Source organism: Homo sapiens, chromosome 5 (assembly GCF_000001405.40).
Source record: "Homo sapiens chromosome 5, GRCh38.p14 Primary Assembly".
Lineage (NCBI taxonomy): Eukaryota > Metazoa > Chordata > Mammalia > Primates > Hominidae > Homo > Homo sapiens.
In genome coordinates this window covers 94,819,846-94,843,284 of record NC_000005.10, presented here as the reverse complement: position 1 = coordinate 94,843,284, position 23,439 = coordinate 94,819,846, and the positions used below count along the sequence as shown (strand labels likewise).

The 23,439-nt window shown below is 39.1% G+C and overlaps 1 protein-coding gene and 1 pseudogene across 54 annotated transcripts in view; both read left to right on the top strand.

The window, feature by feature from the left end:
* The window catches only part of MCTP1 (multiple C2 and transmembrane domain containing 1), a 581,405-nt gene that overhangs the window by 441,810 nt on the left and 116,156 nt on the right, over positions 1-23,439 (top strand). The window lies entirely within an intron of this gene.
* RPL7P18 (ribosomal protein L7 pseudogene 18) lies at positions 16,570-17,395 on the top strand (annotated as a pseudogene).

The following is a 23,439-nucleotide window of genomic DNA, read 5'->3' as shown; positions in this document are numbered from 1 at the left end:
GTTTGCCATTCCCTAATTCTTTGTGAACGTGTCTGTCTTCCCTTCTGAGTTTGAGCCTTTAAAGGATGGAGAACAGGTTGCATTTGTTAATTCTACTCAGGATGTGGTAGAGGGCTTTGTATGTATAGCAAATTGTCAATGTCGATGAATTTTTGTTAAATTTTATCTTGTAGGCCAGTCTAGACTGATAAAAAATATATTTCATAGAATTTTTTATATATAAGCTTTATCTTTCATCCAATGGAAAGCATAATATAGCCAAGTGGAATCACTTGGAATCAAGAATGTTTTCTCATTGTTTTTAATATTAATGGTATCATTAAAATAAGAGAGTTTTCACATCCAAAGCAAATACTCTGTCCCCTGAAATCCTTTTTATGTTATTATAATTTTCTTTAGCAAACCCTTTTATCAGGGCAAAAAATCAATTGCAGCTTCTCTAAATTTTCACAAAGCCTGATTAATAAAGTTTTCACTAATGGTCTTTTCTATATTATTTCTATCATGTTTCAGTAATAAAAAGCAGGTTGCTAAAACCACTTTATATACTCAGTTGTGATATCCTACTGTCATGATTAGTAGATATATTGTTTATTCATAAGATAGCATGCATCACATTCACTTTGAGGAAGAACATTCTAAAATAGTTGGATTTGCTCTATCTTTATCATATTGCAAAGATAAGAGGAAGGAATTGCTTGTGGCCCTTTGTTCCTTGATGATTTTTTCCCCAAACATATTACTAATTAATAACTTTGCTGAAAATCTAAATAAATCAGAAAGATGAAATAAAATGAGACATAGACAAGAAAAGATTGTTGTTGTTTTTTAGATGACACAATCCATATGTTAGCATTTAAAGAAGAGCTTGTTTGCTTATGAAGTGAAACATGCCCTTTTTCATAGTCACAATCTATAGACCCAGTATGTGTGTGTGTAATTTTGATGTGGAAGGAAACATAAAATCAAGTAAGAAGCTTTCTTTGCTGGAATACTAATAGTCTCTCAATAAGTTTCCCTAATGTCTACAGGGGGAAAAAAAGACCTTAGCACCTTTTAATTTTGCAGCTGTTTTTACACTTTTATTTCCTCTTCTTTCCTCTCACATTTACACAAAAACCTTCTCAAGTCTCTTTTAAGCACTGCAGCAACTAAATCAATCCTAAGTGGCAACCACTTCTAACAGCGTTGCGTATGACTGTGTGTTAATTAGCTCCAGTAGATTATCCCCTGGTGTGTGGTGGGGTGTTGGTGGGAACTTTTCAATGTGCAGAGAGTGCTAAGGGTTTCATGTTTATTTTCATGTACTGAGGCAAATTCTCAGGATGTCTTCAAATTATCTCCTTGGGGGTGTTTTTCCTGAGCTAATCCTGACAGAATCTTTCTATCAGATATGCCCATCATCAAGAACAGTAGAACGGTGCACATACAGGAACCTCTGTGCTCGGGGCTGTATGCAAATTTAATGCCCAGCTCATTTCTGTTTCTCTTACATGGATGACAGACATTTTAACAATGTGTTCCACATTCCCCTCTGGGAATCTAGTTGGATTCCTGAATGTATATGAGTGCATATATACATCCATTCAGAATGTGTTTTTGAATACAATGTGGGGAACATATATGCATAAAAATGTATCTATATATGTATATATAAGCACATTTATTATGAGTAATGTGGATATTGGGATGCATATGTGAAGATGGGAGTCAAGCTGCTGTTGATCAGAGATGTGTCTACATCCCAGGGAGACTAATCAGCTGCTGAAAAATGGATAGGGTAGAAGAACTGATAAACAAATCTATTCTGAATATAATTCCACAGTGTTTGGGGTGGGAGTTGTGCCACTATGAAATGGTAAGTAGCAACAGCATAGAAAAATCAGCTTTGTTTTTCAGCTGGCTTTAATGGAAAAAATTATATCCTAAGAACTTTTCCAATCGAAATGCCAATCTTCATGATTGACCATAAATTTGTGACTGAAGTTACCTTTGCTATCCTTGTATCCGAGATTGTCAACATAAGTACTTTCTTGGCAACACCATTGTTTTATTTTCAGTGGCACCTTTCTGTCCTGGGGATATGCCTTTCTATTCCTGTTTCCGTTCCCTGGGTGGACTGGGCTGGCAACCCTAGAAGTACAAGGGAAGGGCACACCTACTCGTCACCTTTAAGCCTCGGTCACATGCCAAGCAGCCAGCTCTATGCTTTTCTATCTCCTTTGGCACCCCAGTGTCAAAGATGCTGCCCACATTGAGTACTTACTCTGTGCCAAGTATTTAGCTGCTCTATATGAAATGGCCAAGTGGCCACTAAGGGTGGTATGTTCCATCAACAATTTCCCTTCCTCACCTTCCCCCCACCCCAAAATCCACCTCAAATAAACCTAGCTGCTCAGCAAAAACAGCTTGCTTAGTATCCAGATGCAGCTTCAAAACAAATCTCTTATATTCCAGATAGCAACACCACCTTTATAGAAATTAGGAGATATTGTTGTCTAGACTATATTGCAAATATTATATGATTTCATTCTTACAAGAGTACTTGTGTCTCATGGTAGAACTCCATTTTAGGAGTGAAAACTAAGGCCAGTGAGATTGAATCACTTGCCCAATAACACATAGGTGGTAAGCCCTGATAAATCCAGCTCTTTGATTACTAAGTGTGAGATCTTTTCCTCTCCCAACCCAAAACTAGACATAAAGAAAAAAAAATGGTGTTATATGAAAAGGGTGAGAACCTTGAAACATCTAGAGCAGCAGAGGAGAGTAAAAGTCCCAATCAAGCCATCCCAACAGCGGTTAAAATCTCTTCTCACATTCTGAACTCTTCTCTTGGAAGATCTAAACAAAGCCTTTCTCATACCCATCTTCCCAGGCCCCTACTATTGCAACTAAGGAATGAGAAAAGAGAGAAGGAGAAGCTGTTTGTCGTCTCTCTGTTCCTCTCTCTGCATATCTCAGTCTTCTCAGTTTTGTCCTGTTTCTTCTATGAATACAGTGTTGCATTCCTAAAGAAGGTCTTCTCTTTACCGTTTCTTCCATTGACTTACTTAGATGGCTCCAAGAATTCCCTTGAGAGTTGGGGGAAAGGAGGATTTTTTTTTTCCAGCTACACTGAGTCTAAGATGAGTGTCACTTTGAACCCAGCCCAGTTTTAGCATATGGGATTCATTGACGGTGATTCCAGGTTAATTCAAAGGACGGGGCTCTGTATCCTCTGTGGTGTCACATGCAACTGTATTTCCAGTGCTTTGCCTGAGGTCATTGCTCTAGATCACTAATTATCACCAGAGGACATAATTAAATACTGAACTGAGGGTATCGAAAGTACTAGAATTTGATTTGTGAATTAGTTTCTTTCAATTAAGGCAAATGAATATTTATTGAGCATATATTATATGCTAGGCAGTGTGCAAATGTCATCATGTGATCTTTATAGTCATCTTTTAAAGAAGGTGCTGTTATTTTAGCATTTCATGGAAGAGAAAAATCAAAGATCTAAAAGAAAATTTGCCTGAGATCACACAGTTAGGAAGTGCCAGAGCCAGGCTTCAAATCCATCGTTTGGGTTTGCTTTGCAGTGCTTCCCAGATACTTCATCATCAATAGAAGAGAGAATGTGCATCCCAGGGAGGTTTGGGTGGGCCCAGCCTGAGAGGGACCACTGTGGGCAAGAATTATTTTTGAAGTCTTTTATATTATTTTTAAATATATGTGACTTAGACATTCTATTCTGAGCCATTTTCATGTTTATTTTATATCTTTTTAAAATTACTACCGAGAAAAAAATTCTATTTTATTGAGCCTTTTCTCTGCATACCCTCAGCAAACTGCTGTGTCAACCCTGGAGTTTTTTAGTATTCCAGTGTGAAAACTTGAGAGCAGGGAAAATACTACATATTGGCTTAATGACCTCCTACTCTGGGTGAGTAGGTAAAGCAGAATCTGGGAGTAATGTGATGTATACATAAGCACATGGCTACAGTTGATTATAAAATTTTGTGGATATTCAGTGGAGATAGCTTCAACTTGGCGGTGATAGAAAAGTACCAGTATTGGAAAAAAACTGAAACATGTTTCTGAAGGTGAATTTCGACCTTTTGTACTTCTCTGTGAGCTTACTGACCATAGGGATGGTATCTGAGGGGAGTATTTATCTCTGTGTTCCAGCACATGGCCTGGTTGATCAGTTCATTCATTGGTTGGTTGGTTGATTAATGAGCAAAAAAGCGTAGATATTCACAATATTCTGGCTTAGACAATTTCAGAGACATTAAATATTCTGGGACTAATAGTGGGAAGAATTATAATGGAATGTGGTCTTTAATCGCACTATACTGCTTAGAGAATTTTAACACCAAGACCTCTGAGGATCCCTTCAGTCTAATCAGTCCACATCTGCCCCTGGCTACCCGATCATCATCCTCCTTGCCCAGCATCATCTTGTTGCCTTTTCTATGCCAAAATCCCTCACATCTACTCAAAATATATACTCTAAAGCTCTCTGAATGTTATGCTTGCAACAGGACAACCATGCATTTAATACATTTATTTGTCCACTCAACATTTATCTATGGAGCACTTCCTATGTATCTGGCTAGACGGTGCTGGATGCTAAGAAGCAGATCTACTAATATGATAGAGAATTTCAAGTTCAAATGGGTAAAGACTTAAGGTATGTACTGAGATGCCCTTTCTGCCCAGTCTTTTCCAGTGCATTGTATGGGAGTTTCTGGAAATAGCATTCCAGTATTGTTCTCTGACTCTAGTGCAGTGAGCCTAATAACTTAGTTGCATCTTCTCGGAGATCCAAGAGGAAGGTATTGGTTCTACATGTCTCCCACATGTCCTCCATATCATAGGAATTTGCAGTTGAGACATTTTCAGTTACAAGAATATTATTATGAAAATTTAAATTGACTTCAAGTAACTCTTATGTATCAATTCACTATGAAGCAGAGCTAAACTGAAACAGCAGCTAAATGACTGTCCTTTTGGAATTAGGGTTAACACCTCTGCCTTAATGAAACTTTTATAACTTACATAATATTCTGGCAGGAAAGATGCTGGGTAAGTGTAAAGTACGATGATGGCTGTTGCTGTTGCTTCTGTGACATTTGGACAACTTAAACCATATGGCCTAAATGTAACTCTAGATAAATGTATAATTTTAGGTTGATTTAGTTTCAGAGCACTTGGAGTTCTGTTTGAATTAAGAGCCAAATCAAATCCAAGAAACAGGTGTATTTCCAAAAAATGGAAGGGATGTGCATTACCAATGACCCAGTCAACAGATCACTGCTTTAAATCAAATAGTGGTATGTGAAGTAATGTCTAAATATCATTGCCACAAGTTCTGTCCAAGAGCAGTTCCTCAGAATGTCTGCTTTTCTGACTCCTGGCAAGTGTAGTTAAATATATAAATTAATACTTTAGCCTTATGTGAGCATGAAGAATAATCTGACCTGGGAGCCTTAGTAGGGCTTATTCTACTTTAAGAGATGACTGTCAATTAACCAGCGCCCCCGTCTCTCATCTCCACCCTGAAACCCAAGTGCTTCAGATTTTAGATATTTGCATTTTCATCCCTCTGACATGAAAGATACTTGAAGAAAACTAGCTCCAGATTTGTGCAAGCAAGCTCAACTCTTTTAACCTAAGTTGGGCTTATACCATGTACCAGGCTTTGTTCTAAGGACTCTAGAAATAGTAACTCATTTAACTCTAATAACAATCTCATATGGTAGTTACTCTATTATCTTCACTTTACAGATCAAGAGACCAAGGGGCAGAGGAGTGAAGTAATTTGTCTAGGGATCCATAACTCTGAAGTAGTGAATCTCAGATTCTTAACCAAACATGCTAGTTCCCTGTGTCATTTTTGTTTTGTTTTGTTTGTTTGAGACAGGGTGTCACACTATTGCCCAGGCTGGAGTGCAGTGGTATGATCATGGCTCACTGCAGTTTCAATCTCCTGGGCTCAAGTGATCCTCCTACCTCAGCCTCCCGAGCAGCTGGGACTACAGGTGTGCACCACCATGCCCTGGCTAATGTTTTTTTATTTTTAGTAGAGATGAGGTCTTGCTATGTTTCCCAGGCTGGTCTGGAACTCGTGTTCTCAAGTGATCCTCCCACCTTGGCCTCCCAAAGTGCTGGGATTACAGGTGTGAGTCACTGCACAGGGCCTCCCTGTGTTCTTAACCACTGTGCTCTACTACTTGCCCTACCTGAGAGAGTGACTCATTTTTGCTTCTGTCAAACCCATAGAATCTTCCTGGAAAGAGATTAAAAGTCAGATATTTCAACAAGATTTGCTTTTAGGGAAGGGAAAAAAACAAACAAACAACACTCTAAGATTGGCATTACTAATGGTCCTCTATATAACAGAACATATTCCCAATTAAAACCTCTCTGCTTTCCTGGGACACATATGGCCCCATAATTTTTAAGTCCATGATTTTTAAACTGCAGAGCAGGATCTAATAATTACCTTGCTTATCTTGCCCTTTTGTCTAAGAAAAGCGAAGATGTTGTAAATAGGAAATTGCAAATTTTATCAGCTGTGGTTTATACAAGAAACTAAGGTTCTGCTTAGGACAAAACTATGGGCAATCAGGTGGGCCTTTTAAATCTATTCCCAAGACAAAGGCTCAGACTGTGAAATCATGCAATCACTAGGGAAAGGGAATTTCTTAGTATAAATCTTCCAGCATTAAATCTCAACCCCAAGTATCTTTATAAAGAATCTAAGTTGATTTCAGCCACCATGGTAACTAGAAAAGCACAGGAGACTGAAGAAGGTGAAGAAATACAGCAATGAAAACTCCTCAACTCCTCAAGTGCTGTCTGTCTTTACTATTCATTCTGTCGCTTAACAATACCGTATCATGTTTTATGTATTAAATTGGCCCTATGTGTGCGTTTTCTCCCCCAGCTGTATAGTAAGCCCTGGAGGACTGGTTAGCATTTTGTATACCATTGGCACTTCTCAGTGACACAGTGCAGACCTACAGATGGGTTTATCCTTTCACTCACTTCTTCCCACAATCCAGTTTAAAGAACTCTCTCTCTTTGGTTTTTTTTTTTTTTTTTTTTTTTTTTTGAGACGGAGTCTTGCTCTGTTGCCCAGGCTGGAGTGCAGTGGTGTGATCTTGGCTCACTGCAACCTCCGCCTCCTGGGTTCAAGCAATTTTTCTGCCTCCGCCTCCCAAGTAGCTGGGACTATAGGTGCGTGCCACCATGCCTGGCTAATTTTTTGTTTGTTTGTTTGTTTGTTTTGAGATGGAGTCTCGCTCTGTCGCCCAGGCTGGAGTGCAGTGGCACCATCTCAGCTCACTGCAATCTCTGCCTCCCGGGTTCACACCATTCTCCTGCCTCAGCCTCCCGAGTAGCTGGGACTACAGGCGCCCACCACCACACCCGGCTAATTTTTTGTATTTTTAGTAGAGACGGGGTTTCACCATGTTAGTCAGGGTGGTCTCGATCTCCTGACCTCGTGATCTGCATGCCTTGGTCTCCCAAAGTGCCGGGATTACAGGCGTGAGCCACCGCTCCTGGCCTGAAGAATTCTCTTGAGAGGGCAAGAGCTTTGAAGTAAGACAGGCCCGGATATAAATGACTCTGCTAAGGAAGATGTGGATATGAGAAGTCATGGGGATATAGCACTGCCAGAAGCAACCCTTTTAGTGAGTACGTATTATGAATCAGCCACTATTGAGTTGCTGTACATAGCATCTCTACTCTTGACAAACAACAGTCCTCTAGATGAGGACAACAAAGCCCAGAGACGTTAAGTCACTTGCCACTGTCTGTCTCAGAGCCATATCACACCCTGGCTATTGTAACTCATTCCTTTCTGTTATATTTCTCACTTTGGATAAGTTATCCAACCTTGACCTTCAGTTACCTCCTTTTTCGGAATGTTGAAACTCGTATCTACTTTGCAGGCTTTTGTGAGAACTAAGTAAGAAAATGCAAGAAAAGGGTTTATAACTGAGCTACTCTTAGAAGATGCTTCATAAAAATCAGGTAATCAACATCATAGTAGAGAATCAGTTAATAATTAAAATCACCTTCCCTTTCAAAATCCCTTCCCCAATGCTCAAACCCTTAAATCTAAGCATTCATCAACTGCTAACTAAACTAAGAATGAGAATGCGTTATAGGGCCAGGCATGGTGGCTCATGCGTGTAATCCCAGCATTTTGGGAGGCTGAGGCGGGTGGATCACTTGAGGTTAGGAGTTCAAGACTGATCAACATGGTGAAACCCCATCTCTACTAAAAATACAAAACTAGCTGGGCGTGGTGGCACACACTTGTAATCCTAGCTACTCGGGAGGCTGAGGCAGGAGAATTGCTGAACCTGGGAGGCGGAGGTTGCAGTTGCATTGAGCAGGGATTGCACCATTGCACTCCAGCCTGGGCAACAAGAGTAAAACTCCATCTCAAAAAAAAAAAAAAAAAAAAAAGAGAGAATGTTATAATGACACATTATCATTAAATCCAGTTACCAGGTCTCCTAATGAAGTTTTGTTCTGAGATAGGTTATTGTGGGTTAGACCCTCCACACTCTGTCCAGATTGCCACTCATGCACCCTGAGATCTCTGACTGGAATCGGCGGCCTTTGAATTGCGCTATGATGTCTCTTTCTCATAATGGCCTGCCACTGCCTACTGTTCCTGGTTATTTCCTCCTCGTCTGAAAATTAATTCATTGCAGCTTTGAAATTTCATAACCAAAAAATCCTAAAAGTCTTAGTATCTCAAAGCCTTTATAAACCTCATAGATAAGGTTTACAGTGATAAAACGCAGTTGTAGCTTGTGCCTTGGGAATCAGATGCACAGTGGCTTGTATCTTTCTGCACATTGTAAAAAATATATGTGTCTTGATATTCTAGAATATGTTTGAATATTCAAAAGGGACAGCTAGTTATGTAGAGTGATATATGGGTAATGTTGAATATCTTTTTTTCCCCACCAAAAGTGGTTAACTACCTATTTCTTTGCAATTGCCCTGTGTGGTTCCTTCAATGCAGACTGGGCAGACAAAATAATACACACTTGGGAAAGCTTCCTCTGTTTTGCAGTGGTGACATTTCACTGCCTTAAAGCCTGCATTTCTTACTTTTACAAACTTGTCACAAACTTTCACCATAATGTCCAAGTCTCCCCTGAAGATTGTGCAAAGCGAAATCAAAATTCTTGCACAGCTTTAATGATGACATCAGTGGTGAGAAAAAGATTATGCACGCACATACACAAATCCAGCTGGTACATGAGCATAAATAACAGTTTGGTGACAGCAGAAAAGTATTGATGCCTTTCAAATTTGATGTCTTTCCCTGAAGAAATTTGCTGATTTGCTGTGTTGAATTTAGGCTAGTTCTCTCTTTTCTTGATAAATCTATTTTTTTTCTCACTTTCTTAAGTTATTATGCATTCGTAAACTACATCTTGAAAGATCATAGTTGTCATCACCCACCCCAATTTTTCTTCTGCAGATAATCTAGGGAACTTTTTTAACCTTTATTTTGGCACTTGATGAACAGCAAGATATTAATACATTTAACAGAAACGGGAAAAATAACTTGAGTAGCCAATATCTGCGCTCCAGAGAGAAAAGTTTTGATAGCACAAAGTAATAATACTGGTAATAATTTAGGAACATGCATATATTAGTATGCCTCTAATTTAAGAGCTAATTATCTTTGTTTTCATTCTTAAAAACAAATTTGTTTTTTCCATTAAATATAAAAATGGTTCCACCTTCTAGCAACCCCTTCATTAAAACTATGCAAATAATTCAAACAAAGAAATTACCACATAATTGGGCCATATTACGCATAATTTATTATGCCTTTTCAGTCTTTAGATAATAGTTTATTTGTATAAATAATTTTTATAGTACTTCGGTGTTGTGTAGGGAGGATACAGTGTCCAGAATGAAAGAAGCAGTGTGATTAGTTGATGAGGTGTTGACATTGCCTTTATTTTATTATAGCTACACAGGTTGATTAGCATCATAACATTAGAATAAATCTGCATACAATTAAAATAAAACATAATGCCAAAAAAAAAGCACACAAAACTTATTGACCTGATTCAATAAGTTCTGGTATAGCTGAAATTTTGCTTTAAAAAATTGTCCACCAGTGTTCTTTTGCTTATTTTTTTCAGATGCGTTTTCTTTGACTGTTTTTCTTTACCTTTCTGAAAGATATTTATAACTCTCCAGGGTGCACCATCCTACTGAGATAACTGTGTTCTTAGATGCTTGAAGACAAAGATGAACAGCTCACTTGTGGTGTGTGGTTATCTCATTATCTCTACCCACCCTGTTGTAGGGTATTGCTTGAGCTACAGTGAACTGTTTGCCCTGCTGGCAAACAAGCCCCTTGCAGCTCATGACACGTGTTTTAACCGTTATTTAGGCGCACTCTTCGCAGTGAGCCTGAATATGCCCTTAGGCTCCCAATGAAAAGGGAGCTTAATGATGTGTCAAAAATTGCACTACAAGGGCCCACAATAAATTCAGACTTTGTAAGTACAGGAGCCAACAGGGCAGCTGGAATTTAAGGTAGTGCTCACAACCAGACCACTTGTCATGAAGTCATTCTGAAGGGGAGTAGGGAAGTGTGTGTGTGTGTGTGTGTGTGTGTGTGTGTGTGTGTTCAGCTAGCCCAAAGCAAGAGAAAGGAACCTGTGTGAAAATGACTGAGAGAAGTCAAAGGATAAGCTGGAAACCATGAGTCAAAGAAGCCAAATACATGTTTTCAAAACAATTTATAGAGGGAGATATAAATGTTCACATCGTCGATCAAAGAAATCACAGACATATTTTCCCAGCAAAAATAACCTTAGGTAGAAATGAAGCTTTGAAAGCTTGGGTCTTCTTGGGGAAGGTGCGGTGATTACCTGGGAACTTTCTTTTCTTACATTGAAGAAAGTACAGGTAAAACTGGATAACTTTTCTAACCCCCTTGGCAATGGAAGTAGCTTCTCATTGTATTTTCTCTTAATCTAGTTTAGAACAATGGCTTATGCAAGGAGGGAATGCATTATAAAGTAACTCTCAAACATTTGTGTAAAGAGATGCAGACCTTTTATTTTCCTAAAGCAGCTGTTGAATAATGAACTCAAAGTGGAATTAATTAAGGATACCACAGAAACTGTAGGGCCCTTGGGATTGCCCCATTTTTCAAAAATCTTTTAATACCCTAATCAAGCATCAGCAGGTTCATTAAAGAAGCTTGTCCTAGGTTGCTACTTGATCAGTAAAGGATTCCGTAGAAGCGTTTCTTCTTTTGAATTTATCTTTTTCCCTCCTCTCTAGCCTGAATATTATTAGCGTTAACAGATTTCATCTCATCTTTTTTATTGTTATTGCAAGAACTAAATATCTAAATATTTGCCACCAGAAGATGTGTATGCCTAGAATTAGTGATCCTTAAAAACTTAAGAGCCTAAAATAGTATATTTGCCTCAGAAATATGTATATATTGTGTTCCCATAAAATTGTGAACATTTACATTCTTAAACATGTTAAGCTGAATTTAATTTGAAAAGAGCTTTTAAAATAAAACTCATTAAAGCTTAGCAAATTTCATTACACAAAGGATTCTTATTTAAGCACCTTTGACTCCTAAAAATGGACCCTGGAGACAAGATGGAACACTGTGCTCAATGGCTAAAATGTTAGGTGTCTATCAGCTGTAAGAAGAAAATTTGCAGTGTGTCCTTAAAGTACATTCAAAAATTATTTCTAGCATTTACATTTGGGAGTTTAAAAACTGCACAAGGATCTTATAAAAAAATCTTTTGCAAACATATTTTTATTTGTGTATAGTTCCAAAAGACAAAACAAGTGTTTTATAATTTGTTGCAAATTGGAAACATATAGCAGTGGTTTGAAGGTTCCTGTTGGAGACCTAGTGATGGACGATTGGATAAACCAGAACATAATCTATAGGCCCATTTTGACCTTTTCAGGAATAGCCTTGACTTGATGTCATCAACTTGGAACTACTTTATTCTGTAGTCATAGAGCAGTCTGAGCACCTAGAAATTTTCTTGGCATTTCTGCTTATCAACTTAACTCTCAGTCTCCAATCTATTGGCAATGCGGCATGTTTTACTAATATTGGTGTTGAGTTCTTGACCCTGCACTTCAGTAGCCTACACTTTAAAGACGTCTATAGCATCATGTCTTCTGATAATCTAACAGCAGAGTCTTTTATATCTAGACATGGACTAGGATCTGGATCTAATTATCTTTAATTTGTTAATGTTTTACCATTTACAAGGCATGTGCACATCCATTACCTTCAAAACAATCCTGCATGATTGTTTGGGCCATAGTTCACCCAAAGTGCCCCAATTACTGGGTGGTAGAATTGGAGCTAAACCTGAGACTATATGCAGTGTTTATTCACCATTCTATATTTCCTCTCAGTTTAAGAAGAGTCAGTGAAATTTAAGAAATGACCCATCTTGTCTGTGTTTAGAAATCTCTGTCAAGAGGAAGACTGAGAAGAGCGTGACCGTGAGGTAGCACCCCCATGTGGAAACATGAGGAATGTTCACTCTCAATTATATATTTCCTCCATAAGGAACTTAGTCAGATATATGAATTCTCATATTGGAGATGCTGGAATTAAATAGGACTTAAAGAAACCCACAGTTATATAGCATAATTCCATGAAAGACCATCAGTATGACAGACATTAGGATCTCAGAGCTATTTCCAGCTGGTAAATTGATAGACACCTCAATGGTCCCAATGTGAACTTTTAAAACCTGTGTCATCTCTTACTCTGTAGAAGATCCTAAAATTCCATGAGAAAAGAAATGTTACTTTTTAAAAATAAATATTAAATTTGGAAGTAAAAGCAGGGAAGTTGTCTTCTAATACTGCAAGGGCTACTTTTAATATTTTTGGATACTTAATTATAAATACAAATGTCAGGGATAGCTTACTGTGATGTATAGAAGCCCATGTAAATAGTTGTACTTCTTGAGAGTGAGTTTCTAACATTCACCCTTTCTCCTACCTGTGGAAGAATACTAAAAGGTGATGTTTTCCTGGTCTGTGGCCAGAAAAATAAAGGAGTTTGGTTTTGGTTTTGTTTGTTTGTTTTAATCTTTTGTTTACCTCTGTAGATGGTAACAGAGAAGAATGTATTTGAAGTGAAACAAATACCAGACTCTTTCTTGGGAATTAACATGAAACATCCCGAATGCTGCCTCTGCTGAGTTAGATACTATAAAGAGTGTGGCTGCATTTTCCATGAGATGGTAAGAGCTACTCACTCACAAAGCAGGATGAATAGCGAGACAGCATAGCATAGATTCATGCAAAGCAGTGGATGATACAAGAAGAGAGATAGAAGTTTATAGTGAAGAGCTGGCAGTTGTGTGTTGCTAATACTCAGGGCTGAACCTTCAAGAAAAAAACTCATTCTGAGAGTTCAGAAGATTACACACTTCTGAGGCAGAACTGTGAACACATTCCATCTCTGTCCTATATCCTTCATTTTCTCTGTTACCTTTCTTTGCTCTACCTTACTTTTCTCTCATCTATTTTTACATGCTCCCTTTCTTCCTTTTAGGACATCTTTTTCCCATCTTTTATTTTTCCTTTCCCCCATGTCTCCTTCTATTCCCATCCTGTTGTGTTTATCTGTCCCCGTTAACTGACCATGATGTGGAGCTGAAGAGAGACACGCATAGTGATTAAGAGCCAAGGTTCTAGAGTCAGCCAGGAAACTGGCTCTGCTATGTGATCGTGAGCATCTTATTAGGTTGGTGCAAAAGTAATTGCGGTTTTGCCTTTTAAAAAATTTAAAACGGATATCTGGGCAAGATGGCCGAATAGGAACAGCTGTGGTCTGCAGCTCCCAGCGAGACCAACGCAGAAGGCAGGTGATTTCTACATTTTCAAATGAGGTACCCGGTTCATCTCACTGGGACTTGTTAGACGGTGGGTGAAGCCCACAGAGGGCGAGCTGAAGCAGGGTGGGGCGTCGCCTCACCCAGGAAGCACAAGGGGTTGGGGAACTCCCTCCCCTAGTCAAGGGAAGCCATGAGGGACCATGCCGTGAGGAACAGTGCATTCTGGCCCAGATACTATGCTTTTCCCGTGGTCTTCACAACCCACAGATCAGGAGGTTCCCTCAGGTGCCTACACCGCCAGGGCCCTGGGTTTCAAGCACAAAACTAGGCGGCCATTTGGGCAGACACTGTGCTAACTGCAGGAGTTTTTTTTTTGTTGTTGTTGTTTGTTTGTTTTTTTCATACCCCAGTGTCTCCTGGAACACCAGAGAGACAGAACTGTTTACTCCCCTGGAAAGGGGGCTGAAGCCAAGAAGCCAAGTTGTCTTGCTCAGTGGATCCCACGGAGACCAGTAAGCTAAGATCCACTGGCTTGAAATTCTTGCTGCCAGCACAGCAGTCTGAAGTCGATCTGGGACCCTCAAGCTTAGTGATGGGGAGGGACACCCGCCATTGCTGAGGCTTGAGTACCCCTCACAGTGTAAACAAAGCTGCCAGGAAGTTCGGAATGGGCAGAGCCCACCGCAGCTCAGCAAAGCTACTGTAGCCAGACTGCCGCTCTAGATTCCTCCTCTCTGGGCAGGGCATCTTTGAAAGAAAGGCACCAGCCCTAGTCAGGGGCTTATAGATAAAACTGACACCTCTCCAGGTCAGAGCACCTGGGGGAAGGGGCGACTGTGGGAGCAGCTTAAGCAGACTTAAAATGTTCCTGCCTGCCAGCTCTGAAGAGATGAGAGGATCTCCCAGCAATGCGCTCAAGCTCTGCCAAGGGACAGTCTGCTTCCTTAAGTGGGTCCTTGACCCCCGTGCCTCCTGACTGGGAGACACCTCCCATCACAGGTCGACAGACGCCTCATACAGGAGAGCTCCAGCTGGCATCTGGCAGGTGCCCCTCTGGGATGAAGATTCCAGAGGAAGGAACAGGCAGCAATCTTTGCTGTTCTGCAGCCTCTGCTGGTGATACCCAGGCAAACAGGGTGGACCCCCAGCAAACTCCAGCAGACCTGCAGAAGAGGAGCCTGACTGTTAGAAGAAAACTAACAAATAGAAAGCAATAGCATCAACATCAACAAAAAGGATGACCACGCAAAAACTCCATCCGAAGTCACCAACAGCAAAGACCAAAGGTAGATAAGTCCATGAAGATGAGGAAAAACCAGTGCAAAAAGGCTGAAAATTCCAAAAACCAGAATGCCTCTTCTCCTCCAAAGGATCACAACTCCTCACCAGCAAGAGAACAAACTGAACGGAAAATGAGTTTAACGAATAGTAGGCTTCAGAAGGTGGGTAATAACAAACTCCTCTGAACTAAAGGAGCATGTTCTAACCCAATGCAAGGAGGCTAAGAACCTTGATAAAAGGTTAGAGGAATTGCTAACTAGAAAAACCAGTTTAGAGAAGAACATAAATGACCTGACGGAGCTGAAAAACACACCACAAGAACTTCGTGAGGCATACACAAGTATCAATCCCAAAACCAATCAAGCAGAAGAAAGGATATCAGAGATTGAAGATCAACTTAATGAAAAAAAAGTGAAGAAAAGATTAGAGAAAAAAGAATGAAAAGGAATGAACAAAGCCTCCAAGAAATATGGGACTATGTGAAAAGACCAAACCTACATTTGATTGGTGTACCTGAAGGTGACATGGAAAATGCAACCAAGTTGGAAAATACACTTCGGGATATTGGGAGAACTTCCCCAACCTAGCAAGGCAGGCCAATATTCAAATTCAGGAAATACAAAGAACACCACAAAGATACTCCTCGAGAAGAGCAACCCCAAGACACATAATTGTCAGATTCACCAAGGTTGAAATGAAGGAAAAAATGTTAAGGGCAGCCAGAGAGAAAGATCGGGTTACCCACAAAGGTAAGCCTATCAGACTAACAGTGGACCTCTCTGCAGAAGCCCTACAAGCCAGAAGAGAGTGGGGGCCAATATTCAACACTCTTAAAGAAAAGAATTTTCAATCCAGAATTTCATATCCAGCCAAACTTAGCTTCATAAGTGAAGAAGAAATAAAATCCTTTACAGACAAGCAAATGCTGAGGGATTTTGTCACCACCAGGTCTGCCTTACATGAGCTCCTGAAGGAAGCACTAAATATGGAAAGGAAAAACCAGAACCGGCCACTGCAAAAACAAACCAAAATGTAAAGCCCATTGACACTATAAGGAAACTGTATCAGCTAATGGGCAAAATAACCAGCTAGCATCATAATGCAGGATCAAATTCACACAAAACAATATTAGCCTTAAATGTAACAGGCTAAATGCCCCAATTAAAAGACACAGATTGGCAAATTGGATCAAGATTCAAGACCCATCAGTGTGCTGTATTTAGGAGACTTATCTCAAAAGCAAAGACACACACAGGCTCAAAATAAAGGGATGGAGGAAGATTTACCAAGCAAATGAAAAGCAAAAAAAAAAAAAAAAAAAAAAAAAAAAAAAAAAGCAGGGGTCACAACCCTACTCTCTGATAAAACAGACTTTAAGTGGATGTGTCAACTTCCTCTTTTTCCAGCTGGAACCATGGAGTGTGTATAAGAGAAGAAGAGAAGGTTCCTGCTGTGCCAGAAACCCTCAAGAAAAAGTGAAGGAATTTTGCAGAGCTGAAGATCAAGAGCCTGAGAAAGAAGTTTGCCCAAAAGATGCTTTGAAAGGGAAGGAGGAAGCTTCTATGAAAAAATGAAGCACTATCACAAGGAATATAGGCAGATGTACAGAACTGAAATTTGAATGGCGAGGATGACAAGAAAAGCTGGCCACTTCTGTGTTCCTGAAGAACCCAAATTGGCATTTGTCATCAGGATCAGAGGTATCAATGGTGTGAGCCAAAAGGTCTGAAAGCTGTTGCAGCTTCTTTGCCTTCATCAAATCCTCAGTGGAACCTTTGTGAAGCTCAAGAGGCTTCAGTTAACATGCTGAGGATTGTAAAGCCATATATTGCATGGGGGTTCCCAAATCTAAAGTTAGTAAATGAACTAATCTACAAGCATGGTTATAGCAAAATCAATAAGAAGCAAATTGCTTGGACAGATAATGCTTTGATTGCTCGATCTCTTGGTAAATATGGCATCATCTGCATGGAGGATCTGATTCATGAGATCTGTACTGTTGGAAAATGCTTCACAGAAGCAAATAACTTCCTGTGATCCTTCAAAGTATCTTCTCCACGAGCCAGAATGAAGAAACAGAGCACCCATTTTGTAGAAGGTGGAGATGCAACAGGGAGGACCAGATCAACAGGCTTATTAGAAGAATGATCTAAGTTGCCTACCATGATTATTTTTCTAAGCTGGTCAGTTAATAAACAGGACCTGCTCTCAAATTGAAAAAAAAAAAATAGATGTTAAACTAACAAAGATCGAAAAGACAAAGTAGGGCATTACATAATGGTAAGGGGATCAATGCAATAAGAAGAGCTAACTATCCTAAATGTGTGTGTGTGTGTGTATATATGTATATGTATGTATGTATATATATATATGCACCCAATACAGGAGCACCCAGATTCATAAAGTAAGTTCTTAGAGACCTACAAAGAGACTTAGACTCCCACACAATAATAGTGGAAGACTTTAACACCCCACTGTCAATATTAGACAGATCAACGAGACAGAAAATTAACAGGGATGTTCAGGACTTGAACTCAGCTCTGGACCAAGTGGACCTAATAGACACCCACAGAACTCTCCACCCCAAATCATCAGAATATACATTCTTCTCAGCACCACATAGCACTTATTCTAAAATTGACCACATAATTGGAAGCAAAACCCTCCTCAGCAAATGCAAAAGAACAGAATTCATAACAAACAGTCCCTCAGACCACAGTGCAATCAAATTAGAACTCAGGATTAAGAAACTCATTCAAAAACTGCAAAACTACATGGAAATTGAACAACCTGCTCCTGAGTGACTACTGAGTAAATAACAAAATTAAGGTAGAAATAAATAAGTTCTTTGAAACCAATGAGAACAAAGACACAACATACCAGAATCTTCCGCACACAGCTAAAGCAGTGTTTAGAGGGAAATTTATGGCACTAAATGCCCACAGGAGAAAATGGGAAATATCCAGAATTGACACCCTAACATCACAATTAAAAGAACTAGAGAAGCAATAACAAACAAATTCAAAAGTTAGCAGAAGACAAGAAATAACTAAGATCAGAGCAGAACTGCAGGAGATAGAGACATGAAAAACCCTTCAAAACAATCAGTGTATCCAGGGGCTGGTTTTTTGAAAAGATTAACAAAATAGATAGTCTGCTAGCCAGACTAATAAAGAAGAAAAGAGAGAAGAATCAAATAGACACAATAAAAAATGATAAAGGGAATATCACCACTGATCCCACAGAAATACAAACTACCATCAGAGAATACTATAAACACCTCTACGCAAATAAACTAGAAAATCTAGAAGAAATGGATAAATTCCTGGACACATACACCCTCCCAAGACTAAACCAGGAAGTAATTGCATCCCTGAATAGACCAATAACAAGTTCTGAAACTGAGGCAGTAATTAGTAGCCTACCAACCAAAAAAAGCCCATGACCAGATGGATTCACAGCTGAATTCTACCAGAGGTACAAAGAGGAGCTGGTAACCATTCCTTCTGAAACTATTCCAAGCAATAGAAAAAGAGGGACTCCTCCCAAACTCATTTTATGAGGCCAGCATCATCCTGATACCAAAACCTGGCAGAGACACAACAAAAAAAGAAAATTTCAGGCTAATATTCCTGAGGTGCGAAAATCCTCAGTAAAATACTGGCAAAACGAATCCAGCAGCACATTAAAAAGCTTATCCACCACTACCAAGTCAGCTTCATCCCTGGGATGCAAGGCTGGTTCAACATATGCAGATCAATAAACGTAATCCATCACAAAAACAGAACCAATGACAAAAACCACATGATTAGCTCAATAAATGGAGAAAAGGCCTTCAATAAAATTCAACACCCCTTCATGCTAAAAACATTGAATAAACTGGTATTGATGCAACATATCTCAAAATAATAAGAGCTATTTATGAGAAACCCACAGCCAATATCATCCTGAATGGGCAAAAGCTGGAAGAATTCCCTTTGAAAACCGGCACAAGACAAGGATGCCCTCTCTCACCATTCCTATTCAACATAGTATTGGAAGTTCTGGCCAGGGCAATCAGGCAAGAGAGAGAAATAAAGCGTATTCAAATAGGAAGAGAAGAAGTCGAAGTATTTCTGTTTGCAGATGACATGATTGTATATTTAGAAGACCTCGTTGTCTCTGCCCAAAAACTCCTTTAGCTGATAAGCAACTTCAGCAAAGTCTCAGGATAAAAAATCAATGTGCAAAAATCACAAGCATTCCTATACACCAATAATAGACAAACAGAGAGCCAAATCATGAGCAAACTCCCATTCACAATTGCTACAAAGAGAATCAAATACCTAGGAATACAGCTTACAAGGGATGTGAAGGACCTCCCCAAGGAGAACTACAAACCACTGCTCAAGGAAATAAGAGAGAACACAAACAAATGGAAGAACATTCCATGCTCATGGATAGGAAGAATCAATATTGTGAAAATGACCATACTGCCCAAAGTGATTTATAGATTCAATGTTGTTCCCATCAAGCTACCATTGACTTTCTTCACAGAATTAGAAAAAACTACTTTAAATTTCATATGAAATCAAAAGAGACCCCATATAGCCAAGACAATCCTAAGCAAAAAGAACAAAGCCGGATGCATAATGCTACCTGACTTCAAACTATACTACAAGGCTACAGTAACCAAAGTGGCATGGTACTGGTACCAAAACACATATATAGATCAATGGAACAGAACAGAGTCCTCAGAAATAACACCACACATTTACAACCATCTGATCTTTGGCAAACCTGACAAAAGCAGTGGGGAAAGGATTCTCTATTTAATAAATGGTGCTGGGAAAACTGGCTAGCCATATACTGAAAACTTAAACTGGACCCTTCCTTACACCTTATACAAAAATTAACTTGAGATGGATTAAAAACTTAAACGTAAGACCTAAAACCATAAAAACCCTGGAAGAAAACCTAGGCAATACCATTCAGGACACAGGCATGGGCAAAGACTTCAGGACTAAAACACCAAAAGCAATGTCAACAAAAGCCAAAATTGACAAATGGAATCTAATTAAACCATAGAGCTCCTGCACAGCAAAAGAATCTATCATCAGAGTGAACAGGCAACCTACAGAGTGGGAGAAAAGTTTGCAATCTATCCATCTGACAAAGGGCTAATATCCAGAATCTATAAGAAGCCTACACAAATTTACAAGAAAAAACCCCATCAAAAAGTGGATGAAGGATATGAACAGACACTTTTCAAAAGAAGACATTTATGCAGCCAACAAACATATGAAAAAAAGCTCATCATCACTGGTCATCAGAGAAATGCAAATCAAAACCACAGTGAGATACCATCTCATGCCAGTTAGAATGGCGATCATTAAAAATTCAGGAAACAACAGATGCTGGAGAGGATGTGGAGAAATAAGAACACTTTTACACTGTTGGGAGTGTAAATTAGTTCAACTGTTGTGGAAGACAGTGTGGTGATTCCTCAAGGATCTAGAACTAGAAATACCACCTGACCCAGCAATCTCATTACTGGGTATATACCCTAAGGATTATAAATCATTCTACTATAAAAACACATGCACATGTATGTTTATTGCAGCACTATTCACAATAGCAAAGACTTAGAACCAACCCAAATGCCCATCAATGTTAGACTGGATAAAGAAAATGTGGCACATATACACCATGGAATATTATGCAGCCATAAAAAATAATGAGTTCATGCCCTTTGCAGGGACATGGATGAAGTTGGAAACCATCATTCTCAGCGAACTAACACAGGAACAGAAAACCAAACACCGCATGTTCTCACTCATAAGTGGGAGTTGAACAATGAGAACATATGGGCACAGGGAGGGAACATCACACACCAGGGCATGTTTGAGGGTGGGGGACAAGGAGAGGGATAGTATTAGGAGAAATACCTAATGTAGATGATGGGTTGATGGGTGGAGCAAACCGCTATGGAACATGTATACCTATGTAACAAACCTGCATGTTCTGCACATGTATCCCAGAACTTAAAGTATAATAAATAAATTAATTAACAGATATGAAAACCATGCAAAAAAAATTTAATGGCAAAACTGCAGTTACTTTTGCAGCAACCTAATATTTAAACCTCTTTGAGCCACATGCTACTCATCTGTAAAATCAAGCTAATGGTATAACGTAATTCACAGTTACTAAAAAGAAAATGCAGCTCACCCTCAAACAACATAAGTTTGAACTGCAAGGGTTCACTTATATATGGATTTTTTTCAATCAAATGCAGATAGAAAATACAGTATCCAGGGGATGTGAGGCCCACATATAGGATGGGCCAATTTTTTTATGTACCTGGTTTCCTCAGGGCCAATTGCAGGACTTGAGTGTGTATAGGTTTTTGTATCAGAGGGTGGTCCTGGAACCAATCTCTGGTGTATACCAAGGGACAACTGTATAGTATAATGCCATTTAGCACAGTTTCTGAAACATACTAAATGCTTAATAAGTGTAGGCTTTTTATTTGTACTGGGAAAATATGGAAGTAATGGAAATATATTACAAATATACATACAATATTACAAATTGCATGTCTAAATAAAGGAATCACACTGATGGTTAGAGAACAGGAGGAAAAAATACGTTAATTCTAGTGCTGAAGGTGGCACATAAAATGCAGAGCTCAAGTACTAGACAGGGGAAGATCAAAATGTCGAATCTGTGTTTCCCAGAAGGTCGATGAAGGGAAACCCTATCAGATACATGATTCACAATTTTCTTGATATTTCTATTTTAAGCCCATTAGTTGCTCAGTGTAAGCCCAACTATTTCCAGTACTAAGACCGCAAAAGCTCTTATTCAAGAGCCTTTATAAAGCTGACACTGTATAATGTGAACAAAATCTCCAGAGTTAAATACAGTTTTGTGTTTCACAGAATTCTTTCATTTAACTTCCCTCAGTAGAGGCTGCTGCTGCAACACCAAAATGCAGTTCCGTCAAAGCAACTCTAGCACTATATACAGACGATGAAATTTGGAGCCAGATAGACTTGGTTTGAATTGTGTAAAATGCCATTTACTTGCTGGGTGGCCTTGAGCAAGCTATTTGACAGTGCTGGGAGTGTTTCCTGATCTGGAAAAGAGATATTAACCCCTACCTTGCATGGTTATTTTAAAGATTATTACTCAAGTATGAAAAGCGCCTATCTCAGTGCTAGGCACAGGGACACAATAACTATTGAGGTAACATAGCTATGGGGTTTAAGTATGTTACTCTCAAATGGTTTGGCTAAATCCAAAAATACAATTTAGAAGATCTAAAAAGGAATGTATGTCCTTCAGGCAACCTTCCATAAATACAATTTCTCACAACTGATTTTTGATAGGCACTGGGCAGCAAGCGTTCAGCGTTATCCTCTTTTGACAAGTACTTGGAGTGCAAATATTCTGTTGCCAATTAGGGACAGACCATGCTTTAAGCCTCAGCTGAGATGGGAATATAGTTGACAACTCTTTTAAAAGTTGAGAAGTCTAACCAAAACATAAATCTGTAAAATGCCACCTCGCCTCCACATGGACATGGGCTGAGAATGGGACAAGATTTTTTCTCACAAACCTCAAAATTCTATGCCAAAGAGCATGACTGTGATTATTTTAGCCTGCAAAAAATGTTAAAGAAGGTGTTATGAAACTCCCACTACCATAGGCATAAAGAAGGTCCCATTAGAGCAACCATTGAACAGCTAACCTTATAACTTCCTGTGAGTCCTTCGCCAAAACTTGCTATGCTTTGGTGATAAGATCCTGTTCAGAGTGGTTAACTGTAACTAACTTGAGTGCTTCAGAGCATCTGCCAAAAATAATCATTTGGGTTTTAGAATGATTAATCTCGAGCTATTTTTTAATACTGATTAAATAGTCAGATATTTGTTTTTTAAGCTCACACCTATTTTGTGACAATAAAGCCATGACATCAATATGTTAGGAAACACTTTTTCTGTTGTTTCCTTTTGCTTTGCATCCAGTCAGTCAAAAGTGACAAGTCATCAAGGTACAAGTTAAAAAGAAGTTGCCACATGGTGTAAAAGAGGGTAGAACACATCTGGTTTTATCTCACTGAAAATTCTTGTCCATCAAGACAACTTTTCCACAAAACCCAATTCAAGATAACACAGAAGGACAGGTTCTATAGGATCATTAATCATTGGATGCCCAGAGGACTTCGTGCAACTTATCTATAATGAATTTCTGCCCATCTTGAAAAGTTCCAGAATGA